This window comes from Homo sapiens, chromosome 7, assembly GCF_000001405.40.
Source record: "Homo sapiens chromosome 7, GRCh38.p14 Primary Assembly".
NCBI classification, from domain to species: Eukaryota; Metazoa; Chordata; class Mammalia; order Primates; family Hominidae; genus Homo; species Homo sapiens.
In genome coordinates, this window is record NC_000007.14 from 112,616,570 (window position 1) to 112,634,729 (window position 18,160).

The 18,160-nt window shown below is 39.4% G+C and overlaps 2 long non-coding RNA genes across 3 annotated transcripts in view; both read left to right on the plus strand.

Annotated features, from left to right (window-relative positions):
• Positions 1–1,495: 1,495 nt before the first annotated feature.
• LINC03076 (long intergenic non-protein coding RNA 3076) lies at positions 1,496–4,080 on the plus strand. 2 transcript variants are annotated; one of them, NR_110159.1, is made up of 3 exons: positions 1,496–1,709; positions 2,251–2,468; positions 3,839–4,080. It is a non-coding gene; the product is annotated as a long intergenic non-protein coding RNA 3076 (long non-coding RNA). The 2 variants fall into 2 exon arrangements; NR_110160.1 differs by lacking the exon at positions 2,251–2,468.
• Positions 4,081–5,811: 1,731 nt separating this feature from the next.
• Positions 5,812–18,160, plus strand: part of LOC101928012 (uncharacterized) — an 85,692-nt gene continuing 73,343 nt past the window's right edge. Inside the window, exons 1-2 of the long non-coding RNA NR_110158.1 lie at positions 5,812–6,050; positions 15,989–16,096. This is a non-coding gene — a long non-coding RNA (uncharacterized LOC101928012). The remainder of the gene's footprint in view (positions 6,051–15,988; positions 16,097–18,160) is intronic.

Consider the following 18,160-nt stretch of genomic DNA (forward strand, 5'->3'; position numbering starts at 1 on the left):
AAAGTGATCAGGCCTGGAGATGCACAAGCAAGATTTTGGAGTTTACACCAAAGGTGATAGCGTTAGCAGTCATGGGAGATGTCTAGGGAGAGGTAAAAACAGAAGAGCACAGCTCTAAAGAAGTCTGGGGGAACCTCTCCAGGAAGAGGAGGAGTTTGAAAAGGAAACTGAAACAAAGGGTAGGAGAAAATCAGGGTAGAAGCTGGAGTTCTAAAGGTGCAGGCTTACTAGTATCAAAAGTAATGATGACATCTTGAGCAATGGGCATAAAAACTATGAACTCCTTGGTTTGTTTATTCACTGGTGAATCCTGGGGGTAAGTTTGATAGAAAGAGGGAACAGAATCTAGATGGCAGAAGTTTTGGAGAGAATAGGTAGTGGTCAATGAAATGCAACAGAAACCATTCCCTCTGATTGCTTTTCAGTGTAAGATGGGCATGAAATTGGACTGAACCCAGAGGGGAAGCAGGGTCAAGGGTTATTTTCCATTTTGTTTATTGGCTTTTGTTTTTCTTTTTCTCCAACCACAGTGAGAATTAATGATTAAATTATGAACTTGGAGAGAAAAATGAGATTCTGAAGTTTGGGATGGAGGAAAATGGTAGAAAAGGATCAGAGAGAGAGCCTGGGAAGATGACAGTTTTTTTGAAGGCAGAAGTGGCATCTCTTCTGAAAGAAAAGATAGGAATGAATGAAGGTAAAGAGAGATATTTTAATGTAAATATAAGGTGAGATGAAGGAATATAAAAGTGATGGCTCAATAGTTTCAGGAAAGTAAGAAGGAGAAGGTTTTAAGTAATCGTGCGAATAACGGAGAGAGGCGGGTTAGTCTTGATATAAACAGCCACCGTAGGGTGAGAGGAATCAAAAAGAGTGATAACAAAACCCTCCAAAAGTGTGGAGAAAGGCAGTTCAACAGTTCCAGAAAGTCTGATGAAAATGTACCATGTTAAGACATTGTGCTAGACACAGGAGCAGAGAAGATACAGTCCCTTTCGTCATGGAAATCACACTTAGTAGGAGAGCAGCTACATGGGACAGGACCAGTTGACAGTAGATAAAAGTGAAATATTAACATAGTCACAGGATGATTTTCAACAATGTTTGCCAGACTTAGAACAGGAGGAGAGGATGTTGAGTTGAGGGCTGTGAAGATTCAAGTCAGCTCCTGACCTTATGTCAGTATTAAGAAGGGCAGCATTGATCTTGGTGAACACGACGAGCAGTCCAGGAAAGGAGTACAAAGAATAACGGCAAGCACTGGTCCTATGTGGAGGGTGTGAAAATGGTGTCAGGTGAAGAGGTATCACCTCCAACAGGACCATCAAGTTAGACATCTTTTAAGGGATAAGAGGTCCAGAGGTTAAGCCCTGATGGTGGGTCACTGAGACACTGTGGAGGGAAATGGATAAGCCAGGAGTGTTGTGAAGATGTAATAAGGGCTGCACATGTCATAATGGGATCTAAACAAATAGGAGGTGTACAGGGCTTGTGGGGAGTTGGCTGCCCAGAAATCTGAGAGAAAATAAGACATGTAAAGTCCTGCTCACCCATGAAAGTTTCTAAATACAGGAGCTCTGATTCTAAAATCATCTCCATTTATATTGGTTTATCTTTTTAAGACACTTTGTTGTTTCAGAGCTACCTTGCCATGAAGATTCATTACCTTTTCTTTGCTCTTTTCTTCCTTGGCCAGCTGTCTACCTCAGGTAAGGCTTTAGTAATAGTAAGGGAAGCATTTGAGTGAATGAGAAGCCAGCATGAAATGGCATAAACAACCATCTATTGCCAGTGTTAATTAGTAGCTGCTCAATGAACATTTGTTGGATCAATTTTTTTAATGGATGAATTAGTTTCTCCTTCTAGTCTAAAAAATATAATCGAATTTGAAGAATTCCATGATTCCCTTTCTATTTCATGCCAAATTTCTCATCTCAACGCTGGGATAGACTTAGGTTATTTCCAAGAAAGGGAATTTAGAGATCATCGCCTCTGTCCGCTAATTTTATAAATAATGATTTTGAGAGCTTGAGTACAGGTCCTCTAACTCCCAGTATACCACGAAAATGGAATATTTACTCTCATCTTTCTCTGCCTAATCAAAGTAAGGTGCAGATAGTGAGTTTGTTGTGAGCCTTAAATGTGCTAATTCATGTCAAGGGATTTTAGGAAGTGCTTAGCAAATAGAAAGTGCTTAAGAAATGTTAACGAATATTATCAATATTACTATTTCACTTTTTTTTTTTTTAGTTTATCTTCTTCAGCAAGTTCTTCTTTCAGTTCAGAATATCCTCAAGCAGGATGAGCCTGGAGAAAAACTGTGAAATTATTGGAGTTTACCTTTAAAACCATAAAATGATAAGGGCCTGATAGGGTTAAGAATCAAAAGAAAGGAATGGTGGGCCAGGCACGGTGGCTCACACCTGTAATCCCAACAATTTGGGAGGCCAAGGTGGGCAGATCACAAGGTCAGGAGTTCAAGACCAGCCTGACCAACACGGTGAAACCCCGTCACTACTGAAAATACAAAAACTAGCCTCAGTCGTGGTGGTGCATGCCTGTAATTCCACTACTCAGGAGGCTGAGGCAGGAGAATCACTTGAACTTGGGAGGCAGAGGTTGCAGTGACCTGAGATTGTGCCACTGCACTCTAGCCTGGGCGACAGAGCAAGACTTCGTCTCAAAAAAAAAAAAAAAAAAAAAAGAAAGGAATGGTGGAAAGAGATAATGTAAGGAAGATGAAAAACACTGATGGTATAAAGGAGAGAAGACAGAGGAGGAGCCAGTGATGGAATGATGGCACAGAAGGAGTTTGTGAGGGATTTAGAAAGTGGTGGTGCTGTTAATAGAAATGTGAATGCAGGGAAGAGGAGCTGATTGAGATGAAGCCAGTGAAAATGATTTTAGAAATTGTTACCTTGAAGTGACAGCAAGACTTCTAACTGGAGATAATGCAGTAGAGATATGAGACTAGGAAGAAGCTTGTGGCTGATGATAAACATTGTGGGATCCTTCCAAAAAAAGGACAGCCCTGAAGTTATGTGAATAATTTACTACCTCAAGGGCAATTCTCCCTGTCTCCTTTCTCTTTCTCTTGGGCCTGTTCTGGACATCTTGGTAATAAGTGTCTGTATTAGTGGAGGACAAGGGCAACACAGAAAACATCCACTCTCTTTTCTTCCTTTTTTCTCCTCTCTCTTCTCACCTTCCTTACTCTTCTCCCCTCTACCTTTTGGTTTTTTCTTGTTCCTGAACATATAAGGAAGCTTACAAATTACATACAATGCATGGGTTTTTTAAAAGCGAAATAATTAGTAAGAAGATTCAGGCAGAGGAAAATCAGCTTAGAAAAAAGTAATTTGCAAGAGTGATGATGTTGTTTTCTAAAATGGCCCTGGGTGAGGTAACTGAAAGTGGAGGGTAGTAGAAGTCCTTGACGTGGATTTCAGATAGGAATGGAGTGGTATATATTGCCTCCTGAGAAACTGTGCCTAAGATTTATACCCCAGCGGCCCTCACCTGCCTGCAATGGCAGAACATCCAGCATGTATGATGTTCAGTACTGATCTTCTAGAAAGCCTAGCATTGGGCTCTCTCGGGATTGTCCAATAATGCTAGGCTTATACAGTCCAAAGGGAGGTCAACTGTTTTTCTGCACCAAGTGAGGTGTACCTGCAGGCCCTGTCAGTCCCTTCTGAAATATATTTTTTAATCTGATTGAAAACTATTTTGCTACCATGGGCCATTCTCATCAATATTTTCCCACAAAGCTTTATATTTGAAGTCTATTGCAAGTAAGTATATCCTTGTTTTTGTTCATCTATCTGTTTATTTTTAGGAACTGAAGATGCTTATGAAGTCATTAGTATCATGGACTGTAAAAATCAAACACTGTGTAATTCTCAGAATACAACTAGACACTGCTCTCATGGGAAGGAGATTGAACTATGTGTCTTGCGTCTTGGAAAAAATGCAAAGCGACTCACTAACCATGAAGAAACAGCAAATTAGGAAGACAGGATGATCAATTTCCTTGTCTTATTAAAAAATAAAGTCTGCTTTCTTTTCTCTCTCCTTTTATTCTCTAGTGACACATTTATTTATTGACAGTTTGGACAAAAGTTTATCAAGGAACTTTTCACGCTTAGGATGAATTACAACAAGAACCAACATTTCTTTAGTTCCAGCAGGTGAGAGAATACATACCTGAGAAACCAAAAGAATAGCTGTCCTGTTTGGGTTGTAGGGGAAAGTTTTGGGAATTGTGAAGTAAAGGAGGGAAGGATCTGGGATGACAATTACAGTGTGAGATACATTGATAAGGGCAGATGTGAAAAGAGGTTATCAGGTTTTACTGTAGATTACAAATGGAGTTTTCCCTCAGTGTTTTGCAGGAGATTTTGGTAAAGAATTAGCTTTTAAATGTTTATTTTTTGTTAAAATCTTTGATTGTAACATTTTAGCGCTTGCATTACTAAAGTGAATACTTTCTCCAGCTCTACCCAGACCAGACCTGAAAAGGTAGGAAAGTGATTCTTGGAGCCTGGGACTCCTTTCCATTGTTCTTGTCTTCTACTACGCCTATGATACCTGCAGCCCAGTACCTTTCCTCCACAGTTCCCTGATTCCACTATGCTAGCTTCCCTTTGAAACCGCTGTGTTAAATTTTTAGGAAAATACGGGATGATGGAACAATTCTAATTTGGATAGAAAAGAGTGCCTACCCACCCAGTAGTATCTGTATTTTATTATTTTTTCTTTTCTTTTTCTTTCTTTCTTTTTTTTTTTTGAGATGGAGTTTCACTCTTGGCGCCCATGTTGGCCACACCATCTTGGGTCTCACCATCTTGGCCAGGCTGGTCTGGAACTCCTGGCCTCAGGTGATTCACCCGCCTTGGACTCCCAAAGTGCTGGGATTACAGGCGTGAGCCACCGCGCCCAGCCTGCATTTTAAATAGGAAGCTTATTGCTAGTAGGTGAATTTCAGACTACATAACTAAAGAATTTAAGGCAAATATAGGAGGATCAGACAGGATTCTGGCTGGAAACTGATGAGACATTGGAAGAAGTTCACAATATAAGGGCGGGGCTCCGGCACTGAAGGAGGGGTCTGGAAGCGCTGCGGGCAGGAGCAATGAAGGGAAGAAAGGCTTCAACTGACCCCTCGACCTGAAGGCCCACAGCCGGGAACACCGGCAAGGAGAACACAAGAGAATGCACGGGAAAACACAAGTCAAAAACAATGGTTTGTCTTTTATTATTATTAAGAAGATGGAGGAGGCCGGGCGCGGTGGCTCACGCCTGTAATCCCAGCAGTTTGGGAGGCCGAGGCGGGCGGATCACGAGGTCAGGAGATCGAGACCACGGTGAAACCCCGTCTCTACTAAAAATACAAAAAATTAGCAGGGCGCGGTGGCGGGCGCCTGTAGTCCCAGCTACTCTGGAGGCTGAGGCAAGAGAATGGCGTGACCCGGGAGGCGGAGCTTGCAGTGAGCCGAGATCACGCCACTGCACTCCAGCCTGGGCGACAGAGCGACACTCCGTATCAAAAAAAAAAAAAAGAAGATGGAGGAGCAGCAGTAAGGCTTATCAACGGAAATATTCGTACTGATGAGCATAGAGGAAGAGGTTTTGTTTGCTTGTTTAAGAATCCAGGGTGGCAGCAGCAGGCCCTGCTTTTGGGGTAGAGGTGGCCAGCTAGAAGGGCATTGTACCTTCCCTGGGTCCCGCCCCTTCCCAGGTGAGCTGGGTCCCTTTGTGATGATGATGAAAATGCCTAGGAGGGGGATATGACAATGACTCGCTCCTACCGCCTACTCCAGTCCTCTCCACCCCAAGGTAGGCAGCTTCCCGCTCCTCGTCTTGGGACCTAAACCCAGGAAGTCAAATGTCCTTTTCTAGCAGGTCGCCTGGTTAGAGGCCGTGGACGAAGCGGTCCAGGCACAGCCAGCTGCAGGGCGCGGCCTCGGCGGCGCTGCTCGTGGCCCTGGTCAGTGAGCGCACTCACTCCTGGACTAAGGTAACCCGCGTGGAGGAGACCCAGCTCCCAGGTGGCCATCCCAGTTCCCACAAAGCCCTCCCTGACTTTTAGATCTGGAAATTGTAGCCCCAGTCCCCGGTCCCAACGTCGTGTGCTTTTTAATAGGTGCATGAAAAACGCAGACTGTACTATTGATGCTTCTCATGCTATAAATACATCATTATCTGTTTCTGTACTCAGTAATCCCTCCCCTCACAAATACCTAGGGCTGGTTGGTCTAGTTTTCCAATTGGTCTCCCAGTCTCAGGCTTGCTCTCAAATTCATTCTCCTTGCTTCCACTAGAGAGATGGGGAGAGGGAAGAGGGGAGGAAGGAGGGTGAAGCGGAGGGTGAGAAGAAGAGGGGAAGAGAGATGATTCTATGGCTTATCTATTTGTGTGTGTGTGGAGGGGGGACTGAATTTTAATTCATGTGTTTATGGATATGTGAACCCAAGCAAACAATTGAAACCATTAACAACAGCAATAACAGAAACAACCAGGCAAAACGATTATTATAACACTTGCAGTGCTTGCTTAATTGCCTATGTGAGATAGGTGCTATTAGTATCACCTGTGTACTGATGAAGAAACTGTGGCATCTGAGAGGTTGAATAACCTTCTTGGGATCATGCAGGTTGTAAAGGGTGATGCTGGGATTCAAATCCAAGCACGTAAGAAAGCAACCAGATACAAACTTGAGGCAACCTATCAAGACAAATGCTAGGTAGGGCAGGCTCATAGCAGGCAATACCAACAAGCTTGATGGAGCGAAAATTGGGAGTTCTTTAATTTCTATAGAAGTAGATGTGTTGCCTTTTAAGTGAAGTTGTAGTGTTAATGGAAAGGGGTCCCGATCCTGACCCCTTTCCACTTCTTGGATCTCACTCAAGAAAGAATTTGGGACGAATCCATAAAATGAAAGCAATTTTATTAAGAGAGTAAAGAAATAAAATAATGGTTACTTCATAGCCATAGCAGCACTGAGGGCTGCTGGTTGGCTATTTTTATGGTTATTTCTTTATTATATCTAAATAAAGGGTGTATTATTCATGAATTTTCAGGTAAAGGGATGGGCTATTTCCAGAACTGAGGGTCTCTCTGCTTTTTAGATCAGATAGGATAACTTTGGAATGTCGCCATGGCATTTGTAAACTGTCATGGCGCTGGTGGGAGTGTCTTTTAGCTAATGCCATATAATTAGTGTATAATAAGCAGTGAGGACGACCAGAGGTCACTGTCTTGATTTTGGTGGGATTTGACTGGCTTCTTTACTGCATCCTGTTTTACCAGCAGGGTCTTTGTGACATGTATCTTGTGATACTAGTCCTGCTGACCTCCTGTTTCATCCTGTAACTAAGAATACCTAACCTCCTGGGAATACAGCCCAGTAGGTCTCAGCTTTATTTTACTCAGCCCCTATTAGAGATGGAGTTGCTCTGGTTCAAATGCCTCTGACAGTAGGGAGCAGGAAATAACAGGAATTGAAGATAATATACAAACAGGAACCAACTTAAAAACACAGTCCCTATTTACAAATACGCTTTCAGTTTATAATATCTCCAATGGACTCAGTTAAAAATATAGATATTTTATGAGAGACTGCAATTCTTTTAAGAAAAGTATGTGCATTAGTATTACAAAGATATCAATTGGAATGAATCTGGATCTAGTCATATTAAGATAAGACAGCGATGCCAAAAGGCTTTGAACTTAATCATGATACATTCAGTAGTGTGATGCTTTATTCTTGAGGTTAACAAACCAGAAAATAGAGTGCATATCAATACATTTACCTGTGAATTTATACTAATTGGTTGACCAAAATATATGTTAGGCAATGCTTGCTTATTTTCCAAGCAATGTTAAAGAACATTAATAAAATGGATTTGAAATTCTCAGCTTAAAAAACAAACAAACAAACAAACAAACAAAAAATAACAAAAAAATCGCCATTATCGAGTTTCCATCTCCCTGAGCTGCATCCTGGAAGTCCCTGCCAGCTGAAAGATTTCTGAGAGGCTCTACCAGAACTAATTAGCTAAGCAGTCTGGGGCCACGCCACCACATCCCAGGAAACAGATATTGGAATCTTTGCTTTTTGAAAATCTTTGTTTTCTGAAAACAAATAGCCATACTTTGATTTCAACTTAATTCAGCGAGTTTACTGGATATTTACTGTATTTTCTGCATGGTCTCAGTTTAAACACAAATCTGTATTCAGGAGTCTCTTGGTCTCAGTTACGTAGCAATACTATTTATGCTTCCATAATATAAATTATTTCATATAGTTGCCTGAGATAATGGGATAATGTTTTACCAATCAAATTGACAAAGATCATATTAAGTGCTGGTGATAGGGAGGAAAATTGGTATAAGCTTTCTAAAATCACATCAGTATGAATCAGGAAACTTGAAATGCTCTTAATTTTTTTTCACCATGTAAATAGATTTAATTAGTAAAAAATAACCTTTTTTAGTCACCTGGTCTCATATGTAGCATCATGGCTACAATGGTAGTGCAAGTCCAGGGACAAAGAACTTTGAAAGGCTCTAGTGGTAGCCATCAGATCAGTTCTTCAAATGGTACAATTTTGTTAGTAAAGATGTCACCTTTACTATAAAAAACTCAATTCTTTTCAATAACTAGGCAGAAGAGATGCAGTGATATAGATAAGCCATATGAGCTATATCTATCTATATATATTACATATGTTACAAACCTCATAATTCCACTGCTAGCATTATACAAGAAGTAATTAGAAATATGGAAGAGATTAAGGTATATTTATTGTATTGTTTCCCTTTTAGTTGAAATTCTCTTGTATATGACCATATATGTTGGAGTTCCTCACTCTTTTCATTCTCCTCTTTTTCCAAAAGCCCCTTCATCTTGCCCATAACTTCAGTTATTTTCTGTCTATAGAGATTTGCAAATTTACTTCTCCTCTCACAGCACAGCCAAGAAACTAAATTGACACTTCTACTTGGATGTCTCAAAGACATTTCAAATTCAGTAGCCCAAAACTGAACTTAGGTTTTTCTATCTGGTCTGCTTCCAAGTTCCTATGAGGAAACAATGTCATTCCTATACTAAAGATACTCAGTGACCTCCCATAGCTCTTAAAATAAGGCTTTGCCATGGTAATTATAAGGGTGAGTATCAAATTCTAGAAATTAATATGACCAAGCCAGGTAATTTGTTAAATGTCTTCCTTTAGGTTGTTGAATACCATACTAAACTGCTAGACATTCTAAAACAAGTAGAAATACACCAGGTATCTGACCCCAACATTCTTTTAGCTCAATTGGTAATTTTTAACTTTCTTTCCAAAGAAACTTATTATGGGTAGTAAAAAGATGATCCTTAAAACAGACTTGAGTTGGAATGAAAAGTGCAAAATGTATAATGATTTCCATTATTGAGTTTTATCAATGGTTATTATCCTAAGAAATATTTTCTTGTGGATATAAGGTAGAGTTCTTTTGTCTGTAACTCAGGAAAACCACTGGTACAGGATCAGAAATAGATGGGTTATTTAATTAACATTCCTTAAATCTTTTGTGCAGCATTATTCTCTTGGATTCACCTTTGCAAAGAATTGAACAAAATAGAAGCCAAAGAAGTAGACAGAAAATAAATCAATCCACTCTGCTCAAAGAGCACACAGTCTAATGAAGATGATGAACATGAAGTCAACTTCGTAGTGTTGAGAGCACTGTTTCTCCAGAGCAGCACTTCTCATCAGGGGCTGCACGTTAGACTTACCTGGGGAGTATACATAAGTTCAGATGCCCAGGCTGTACTTCAGAATCTCTGGAGGTATGATCCACAATGTGCTTTTTTTTTTTTTTTTTTTTTTTTTTGAGATGGAGTCTCACTCTGTCACCCAGGCTGGAGTGCAGTGGTGCGATCTCGGCTTACTGCAACCTCCACCTCCCGGGTTCCAGCGATTCTCCAGCCTCAGCCTCCTGAGTAGCTGGGATTACAGGCACATGCCACCACGCCCAGCTTATTTTTGTATTTTTTAGTAGAGACGGGGTTTCGCCATGTTGGCCAGGCTGGTCTCAAACTCCTGACCTCAGGTGATCCACCCACCTTGGCCTCCCAGAGTGCTGGGATTACAGGGGTGAACCACCATGCCCAGCCCACAATGTGCATTTTTAAAAGCTCCCCAGGTGATTTCAATGAGCAGTAAAGTTGGAGAGTTAAGTATGAATGCATCACTTTGTTAATGAATTTCTTTCTTTTAAACCTTGATAGCCTTAGAGCTGAGCCTGAGTTTAAAACAAATGCAGATTTTATCTTAATTTTAAAAATATTTTAACTTTTATTTTACATTCAGGGGTACATATACAGGTTTGCTATATAGGTGAACTCGTGACCTGGGGATCTAGTGTACAGATTATTTTGTCACCCAGATACTAAGCCTAGTACCCAACAGTTATTTATCCTGAACCTGTATTAGTCCATTTTTATGCTGCTATGAAGACATACCCGAGACTGGGTAACTTATAAAGAAAAGAGGTTTAATTGACTCACAGTTCTACATGGCTAGGGAGGCTTCAGGAAACAATCATGGTGGAAGGTGAAACAGGCACATCTTACATGGTGGCAGGCAAGAGAAGTTAGAACCAAGGGAAAGGGGAAGCCCCTTGTAAAACCATCAGATCTCATGAGAACTCACTCACTATCACAAGAATGGTATGGGGGAAACTGCCCTCATGATTCAATTATCTCTACCTGGTCCTGCCCGTGACATATGGGGATTATTACAATTTATGGTGAGATTTGGGTGGGGACACAGAAACAAACCATATCAGAACCTCTCCCTCCTCCCACCCTCCACTCTCAAGTAGGTCCCAGTGTCTGTTGTTCCTTTCTATCTGTCCATGTGTTCTCATTATTTAGCTCTGACTTATAAGTGAAAATATGTGATATTTGGTTTTCTGTTTCTGTGTTAGTTTGCCAAGGATAATGGCCTCCAGCTCCATCCATGCTTCTGCAAATGACCTAATCTCATTCTTTTTTATGGCTGCATAGTATTCATGGTATATATGCACCACATTTTCTTTATTCAGTCTACTGCTGATGGACATTTAGGTTGATTCCATGTCTTTGCTATTGTGAATAGTGCTGCAAAGAACACACGCATCCATGTGTCTTTATGGTAGAATGATTTATATTCCTCTGGGCATATACCCAATAAAGGTATTGCTGGGTCAAATGGTAGTTCTGTTTTTAGTTCTTTGAGGAATCACCACACTGCTTTCCACAATGGTTGAACAAATGCAGATTTTAATGTGGGGATCACAGAAGCAAATTTGAAGTTTTTTAATACTGTTTCACTGACTGAGAAGGGCAAGAATGAGGAACCAAGATGGTGTGACTTTTAGACAATGCAGCAATATGTAAAAATTTCTTAATTGACTGTGATACTTCATAGCCTAATTTCTTTTTTTTTTTTTTTTTTTGACAGAGTCTCGCTCTGTCGCCCAGGCTGGAGTGTACTGGCACGATCTCGGCTCACTGCAAGCTCCGCCTCCTGAGGTCATGCCATTCTCCTGCCTCAGCCTCCTGAGTAGCTGGGACTACAGGCGCCCATCACCATGCCCGGCTAATTTTTTGTATTTTTAGTAGAGATAGAGTTTCACTGTGTTAGCCAGGATGGTCTCGATCTCCTGACTTCGTGATCCGCCTGCCTCGGCCTCCCAAAGTGCTGGGATTACAGGCATGAGCCACCGTGCTCGGCTCATAGCCTAATTTCTTGGACTAGGGGCAGGAAACATCTGAGAAAACAAATTTCTTTTGTGGCAGTCTCCAGAAACATGCTTGTCAGCATGCCTGGAAACCTGAGTGTGAAAAGGAGTCCTGCCATAGCCTGTTGGCTTTCTTGTGGGGCACTAGAGCATTGATTGCAGAAGCACTCACTTTTTTTTTTGGTTCAGGTAATTTTTATGTATTCACATATTAGGATGCTATAGTTCCTTGATTAACTTATTTTTTCCTCTTAAATATATGACAGATATAGGAGCAAAGCTACAAGTGCTTAAATGTATACTTTGAGAGCTGGTCCTTAGTATCTTCTGCGATGATACCCTTTGTTTTACCAATCAGCACTTCCCTTAGCATCTTAGTGATTCACATCCTCCTCAGAAAGCCACCCCACCCATTCTGAGCTCCACAGCAGAGTGGGGTTTTCATGGTTCTGATATATGACTGATATTCAAAAGCTCACCGGAACCAACTGTGCCTTAAAGCAGAAATTAGCCCTGAGGCATTCTCAAGTTAAGACCCTTCTGCTCCTACTACTATCAAATTGGGTTTAAGTAATTTTAACAAATCATCTTCTAAACCATTAATTACTAATACTTATTAATTGGAGGTTTTGAATTTCCTTACCTTTATAAAATATCATCAATTTTATTGATTTCACTTTTTTAGGAAAGAATAACAAACCTGTCTACATTTATGAAGCAGCACATATTTAGAGGATTTTTTAACTGTGCTGAAGCTATAGTTTTAATTAGTGAAATGTAATTCACTTTGCAAATAATTTGTTCTTATAAATACTGTTCCAAGTATGTTGGTGGCACTGATACCTGATGGAGATATAAGGCAGAAAAAATGGTGTTATGCTTTAATGGAAGAGATTGTTAGCCAAAATTATTTTAAATAGTATTACCAAACCCATCTTGGGCCTGACCACCATTTGAATAAATATTCACACTTGAAGAAACCCTGCTTGTTAAATTGTAGGTCAGATTTAGAGTCTTGCAACCTGGTTTTCTGTTCCTGACAGCGATAAATAATATTTTTCAGGGGTCATGGTTGCATTTCATGATACCCCCCAGACTAAGCTGTTACTCAGGCATTCCTACCTTTCTTAGCTTTGGTTATAAATTTATCATAAATTTCTCTAAGCATTTTAAAAATCAGTTTTATCATGGACTATAAGTTATAGTGTGGGCAATTAAAACGTAGAAATAGGCTGGGCGTGGTGGCTCACGCCTGTAATCCCAGCACTTTGGAAGGCCGAGGCGGCCAGATCACGAGGTCAGGAGATTGAGACCATCTTGGCTAACACGGTGAAACCCGGTCTCTACTAAAAATACAAAAAAAAAAAAAAAAAAAAAAATTAACTGGGCCTGGTGGCGGGTGCCTGTAGTCCCAGCTGCTTGGGAGGCTGAGGCGGGAGAATGGCGTGAACCTGGGAGGTGGAGCTTGCAGTGAACCGAGATTGCGCCACTGCACTCCAGCCTGGGCGACAGAGCGAGACTCTGTCTCAAAAAAAAAAAAAAGTAGAACTAATAGGTTTTTTATGTGTCAGCATTTTTCCTGGGATTTATATGACCTCTAAACACACATTCCATGATATAATGAATTACTTTTTAAATTTTTATTTTTATCTGAGTAATATATAAACATAGTGTTTTAAGGAAAAAGAGTAGCCCTCAGATATACCCCATCCCCCTGATTCCTGCTTCTAGTCTGTTTTCTGTTAGTTCTTACCCCTGTATTTCTCAATAACTTATGTTTATTGCTACTTCCTGGCCTTTTTGTTATAAGTATTACATATTAGCTTTCTATCCTGGGAGATGATGATTTAGCATTCTTATATCATCTCTCTCAGACACAGAATGTCACACACATACACACACGCATACACACTCCCAACTGCATAGATGCTTCCCCTCCTCCATTCTTTTTATCCTGCTATTTCACAACTTTTGGTTAAGTCCATATTCAGTGTTTATATCATCATGACACAATTATTATGAACCACATGTAGTGTATCATTATTATATTTCCTTATGGCTTTTCCTTAAGTTAACCATACGTTGGTGGTTTTTTGTTTGTTTTTTGTTTTGCTTACCTGGTTAGCTATTATTTACTCGACACTTAGCTTATGACAAACACTGTGCTAAACACTTCACAATATATTAACAGTTTGCACTTATGAGGTAAATATCATTATCACCCTCATGTTTACAAATGTAACTGAGACAGAGAAGTTGAATAAGTTGCCAGATCGCAAAGCTAGTAGATGACTAGCTTATGATTTGAACCTAAGCAATTTGACTCCTCCTTAACCACAGCAAAATACAAAGAAATGTCCAAAGTTTTTGAGGCTAGTTTCTTGAGAGAAGATCAGTGTTGTGAATGAAGATGAAAAAACTGGAGATAGGACTTAGCCTGGATTTTTCTTGGCAAGTGGAGAAGGAAAGGAAATGATGAATTTGTTTTGGACATGTTAGAATGATGTGATGTCAGGATATGTAAATATTTATATAATAGTTGGACATATGTTAGGAAAGAAACTTGCACTGTGGGTATGAGTTGGAGAATCTTTGACATAGAAAAGGTTGGCTATTAGATGAGAAAGTGTGATTTCTCCAAGCAAGTGAATGCACAGAAAGAAAAGCAGAAAAGATGGGGCTGAACTTTATGGTAAATATGAAGTTAAGGTGGGGGAAAAAGAAGAGAAGCTCAGGTCAGAGAGACAATCATAAAGGTAGGAGAAGAATGAGAGAAGGGCTGAAATCCCAGCTAGAAAAGACTTTCCCCCAAAATTAACATAATACAAAGAGGGTTGTGTCCTTCAGAGAAATGGAGGAGGGTGATGAGCAAGAAGAAATCAATCTGGAGAAAAGGTGGTTATTGACAACCTCCACCACAAACTATTACAAATATTAAATATAAATAACAGGAGATAGTACTACACTCTATTTTGTCTTGTTTATAATTTTTTTCATGTCTGGTGTTTCGTTATTTATTTGTTTTTGGTAGATAGAAGGAATAAATTATTATTATTATTTATCCAAATATTTCTGGGCCAAATCCCAGAAATCTGGCCAGAACTTGGGTACTGGCAAAGTCAGAGAACCACAGATCGTTAAAAATGAGAAGGACCTCAAGAGTTCATCCTGGTTTATTTCATTTTATTTATGGGGAAACTGAATTTCAGAGTGGTTGAGTGACTTCTACTACTGAAGGCTCTTGAGATGGGCCTGGAGGTCTGATGTGAAACCAGGCCCCTGCTCTCATGTATCTCAATGTGGCTTTGAAACAGCAGGTACGTTCAACTAAAAGCCTTATGCCCCCTTCTGACTTTCATATATCTCACCTTGCGGATCCAATACTGCATCATGGAGGGATATCCTGGACCAGTAAAGAAGTTTTTAAAAATCCTTAATTGTTGAATCAGAAAACTGAGCTATGCCCAATTTGTCTGGTCCCACACTTTAGGTGCCTTGATGCCTCTTTTAAATGTAATGGGTAATAGTTAGGATCAGTAGTGTCAGAACAAAATACATAGTTTTTTCTTTAAAGACTTTAAAATTGTGACATATAACTTGTAACATTGGAAAATACTGAAAATAATGGTGGTTGGGATTTTATGAATTCCTGTGTAATTTCTGTGCAGTTTAGCATATTACCATAGCATAGGCTGCTGGAGTCACATCTGTGATTTTCTACCTATGCTGCCTTTTTGGCTGCTGATGCATCTTTTTATTCATTGGGCAGAAGATTTGCTCTAATATGTTTAGGAAAGTAAGCTGACCAACCAAAAATTTCACCGTATCCAGGAACCCATAGGATGTGTCATCGTTTCTAGAGAGAACTGTGAGCTGTATTCTTTTATAATATAAAAACGTGTGCCTGCCATTTCAAACTACTAAACATCTAGACTAGTGAGAGTTTGGACTGTCCTATACAAGGACCCATATATAGAGTGTGATCATAGAATCATGTGCTCATAGATTGCAGTCTGTGTCTTTGGACCGGTCCATTCTTAATGGCAGTGGGGAAATAAGGCAACTTACTCAACTTCATCAGCGACCTTACTAAAGTGGTAGAAAAAACTTCTATTTTACAGTTTAAACTTAGCCAAAAGCTTGTTACTTAAGAGCCAAAAAAACAGACAAAAAAAAGCTTAAGTACTTTGACACTGTTTTTATTTTTCAGCTCTATGCAACTCATTTTCATCTAGCATTACCTCTCCAAAACCTGAATCTCCACAAGAAAGCCACACAGCAATTAACCAGTGTTGCAAGAACTGCTTCTGTAATAAAGGTAAACCTGGGAGCTATTGATTTGAATTTTCAAAAATGTGCAAGTGGTAGGATGATTCCAGGGCAGTGTGTGACTATGTATAGCATGTAAATACACCAGCCTAGAAAACACAATGCATTGCTTGGTTTATATCAGGCAGTACCACAACCCATTTTTTTCTGAATTTTTTTTGCTGCTTTCTGCTTTTCTTTTTTAACCCTTTTCTGATTGTAGAGATCATATGTACTCATTGTTGAAAATAGGGAAAGTAAAAGAAGTACAAATCCCACTACCCACAGCGCCTTCTGCATTTTGTAAAGCTATGACAGCACTCTCAAATATGTAAGTGAAAGAGACTCTTGATAAAAATTGAATTTTACTTTCTCTTTGCCATTAAATTTTGTGTCTAACAGAATCAGCTTAGGGAGAAATTAGCCCTTCTGACTGTTCTTCAATGTCATTTTACTTACATAGTTTTTATTATTACTAATAATAAGCTTTCTGTCTGAGCACTTAGCATGTGTCAGGCAGAATGCTAAGAACTGCACATAAATGCTCTCACTTAGTGAAAAACCTAGGAGCCTGGCACTATCCCCAGTAACTGATTACCGATCATTTAGTGGGCTCAGAGTACTTATATAATGTGCCCAAGGTCATGTGGGAGATAGGATTCAACCTCAGCCCTCTGAAATCATCATACTACCTTAGTTATGAAAGGAATGGAGGGAAGGAGCTAATTTATTGAGATTCTCCATTAGGTAAGTAATTGTGCTGGACGCTTTACATGCTGATAGTGTTCAATTCTCACAGCCTCACAAGGTAAATAATATTATTGCCACTTACAAATGTGGAAGGAAACTGAGGCTTAGTGGGACTAAATATTTTATTAAAAGTCACACAGCTGATAAGTGGGGAAGCTAGAAAAATGACTTTGCTTTCTTTCTTTCCAAAGCTGTCATTTCTACTTGACCACATGAGAAATTTTTTTTTTTTACATCTCTTTCCCCCACCTGACTTCATAAGATCAAAATGTGTTGCCCATTTTGGTAAATTTTTACAAGACAATGCACAAATTGGATTTGAAGGCTTTTTCAATGAAAGAATGAATCTATAGATTCATGCTAATCTGGACTAATGTCCAGCTTAGGGGATTTCACCAGAGACTCAGCATGATGCCTCAAGGTTATACTGAATGCATAATCTGATGTCTCAATATTTTAATGTTTAATCTCAAAATAGAGTGGATTTGACAGTCTAGCTTAAAAGAGATAACATTTTTAAAAATGTATGGAGGAATTCAAGCATATTGCTAAAGTTTTACCAATCAAAGTGTTCTCTCATTTACCAATTAAATAACAAATGAAAAAATAAACGGGTCTGTCGTCACTTAGAATATGTGTTTGCCCATAAAAATAACTTTAAAGAAATTATAAATAGCTTAGAAAAATGATATAAGAAAGCTAGGTTAGTAGCAGTTACTATAGATTATTTATTCAACAAATATGAGGGAAAGAAGTGTGGTGTGTAGGGGGAGATGATTCCAATAATGAGGACAGAGGAGCTCTCCTTGTAAAATGGAAGCTGTAATTCTTGCCTTATAGTGACAATGCAAGAATGTGGAATGACGTATGCAAAGCTCCCTGTGCTGAGCATAGGCAAAGCCATTATTATATTTTGTAGATGAGAAAACAGATGTGGTTTAATGGGGTTAAGTTCACTCAGTTGCTGCCAATTGGCAAAGCTTGGATTCGAACTCAGGTTTTCTGATTCTACGATCTGTGATCTTCTCATTTTGCCTGGTAGTTGTGTTGTTTCCTCTGGGTACTGATCACACTTGTACAAATGGACAGATGTTGAAAATACATCCACTGGTGGTTAAACCTGAAATAAATGCTAATTTTTCATTTTTATAAAGGTTTCTTTTTGATGTATTTGTGTTTTGAGAGTATATTTGCTGTTCAATATAATTTTGTGTCTATGGAATGTGTTTTAAAAATTATAATCTCTAAGGATATGAATTAATGTACATTAATGTGTAACTAATGTTACAGCTCCTTTTATAGCCACTTGGGTTTTCATGTTGTT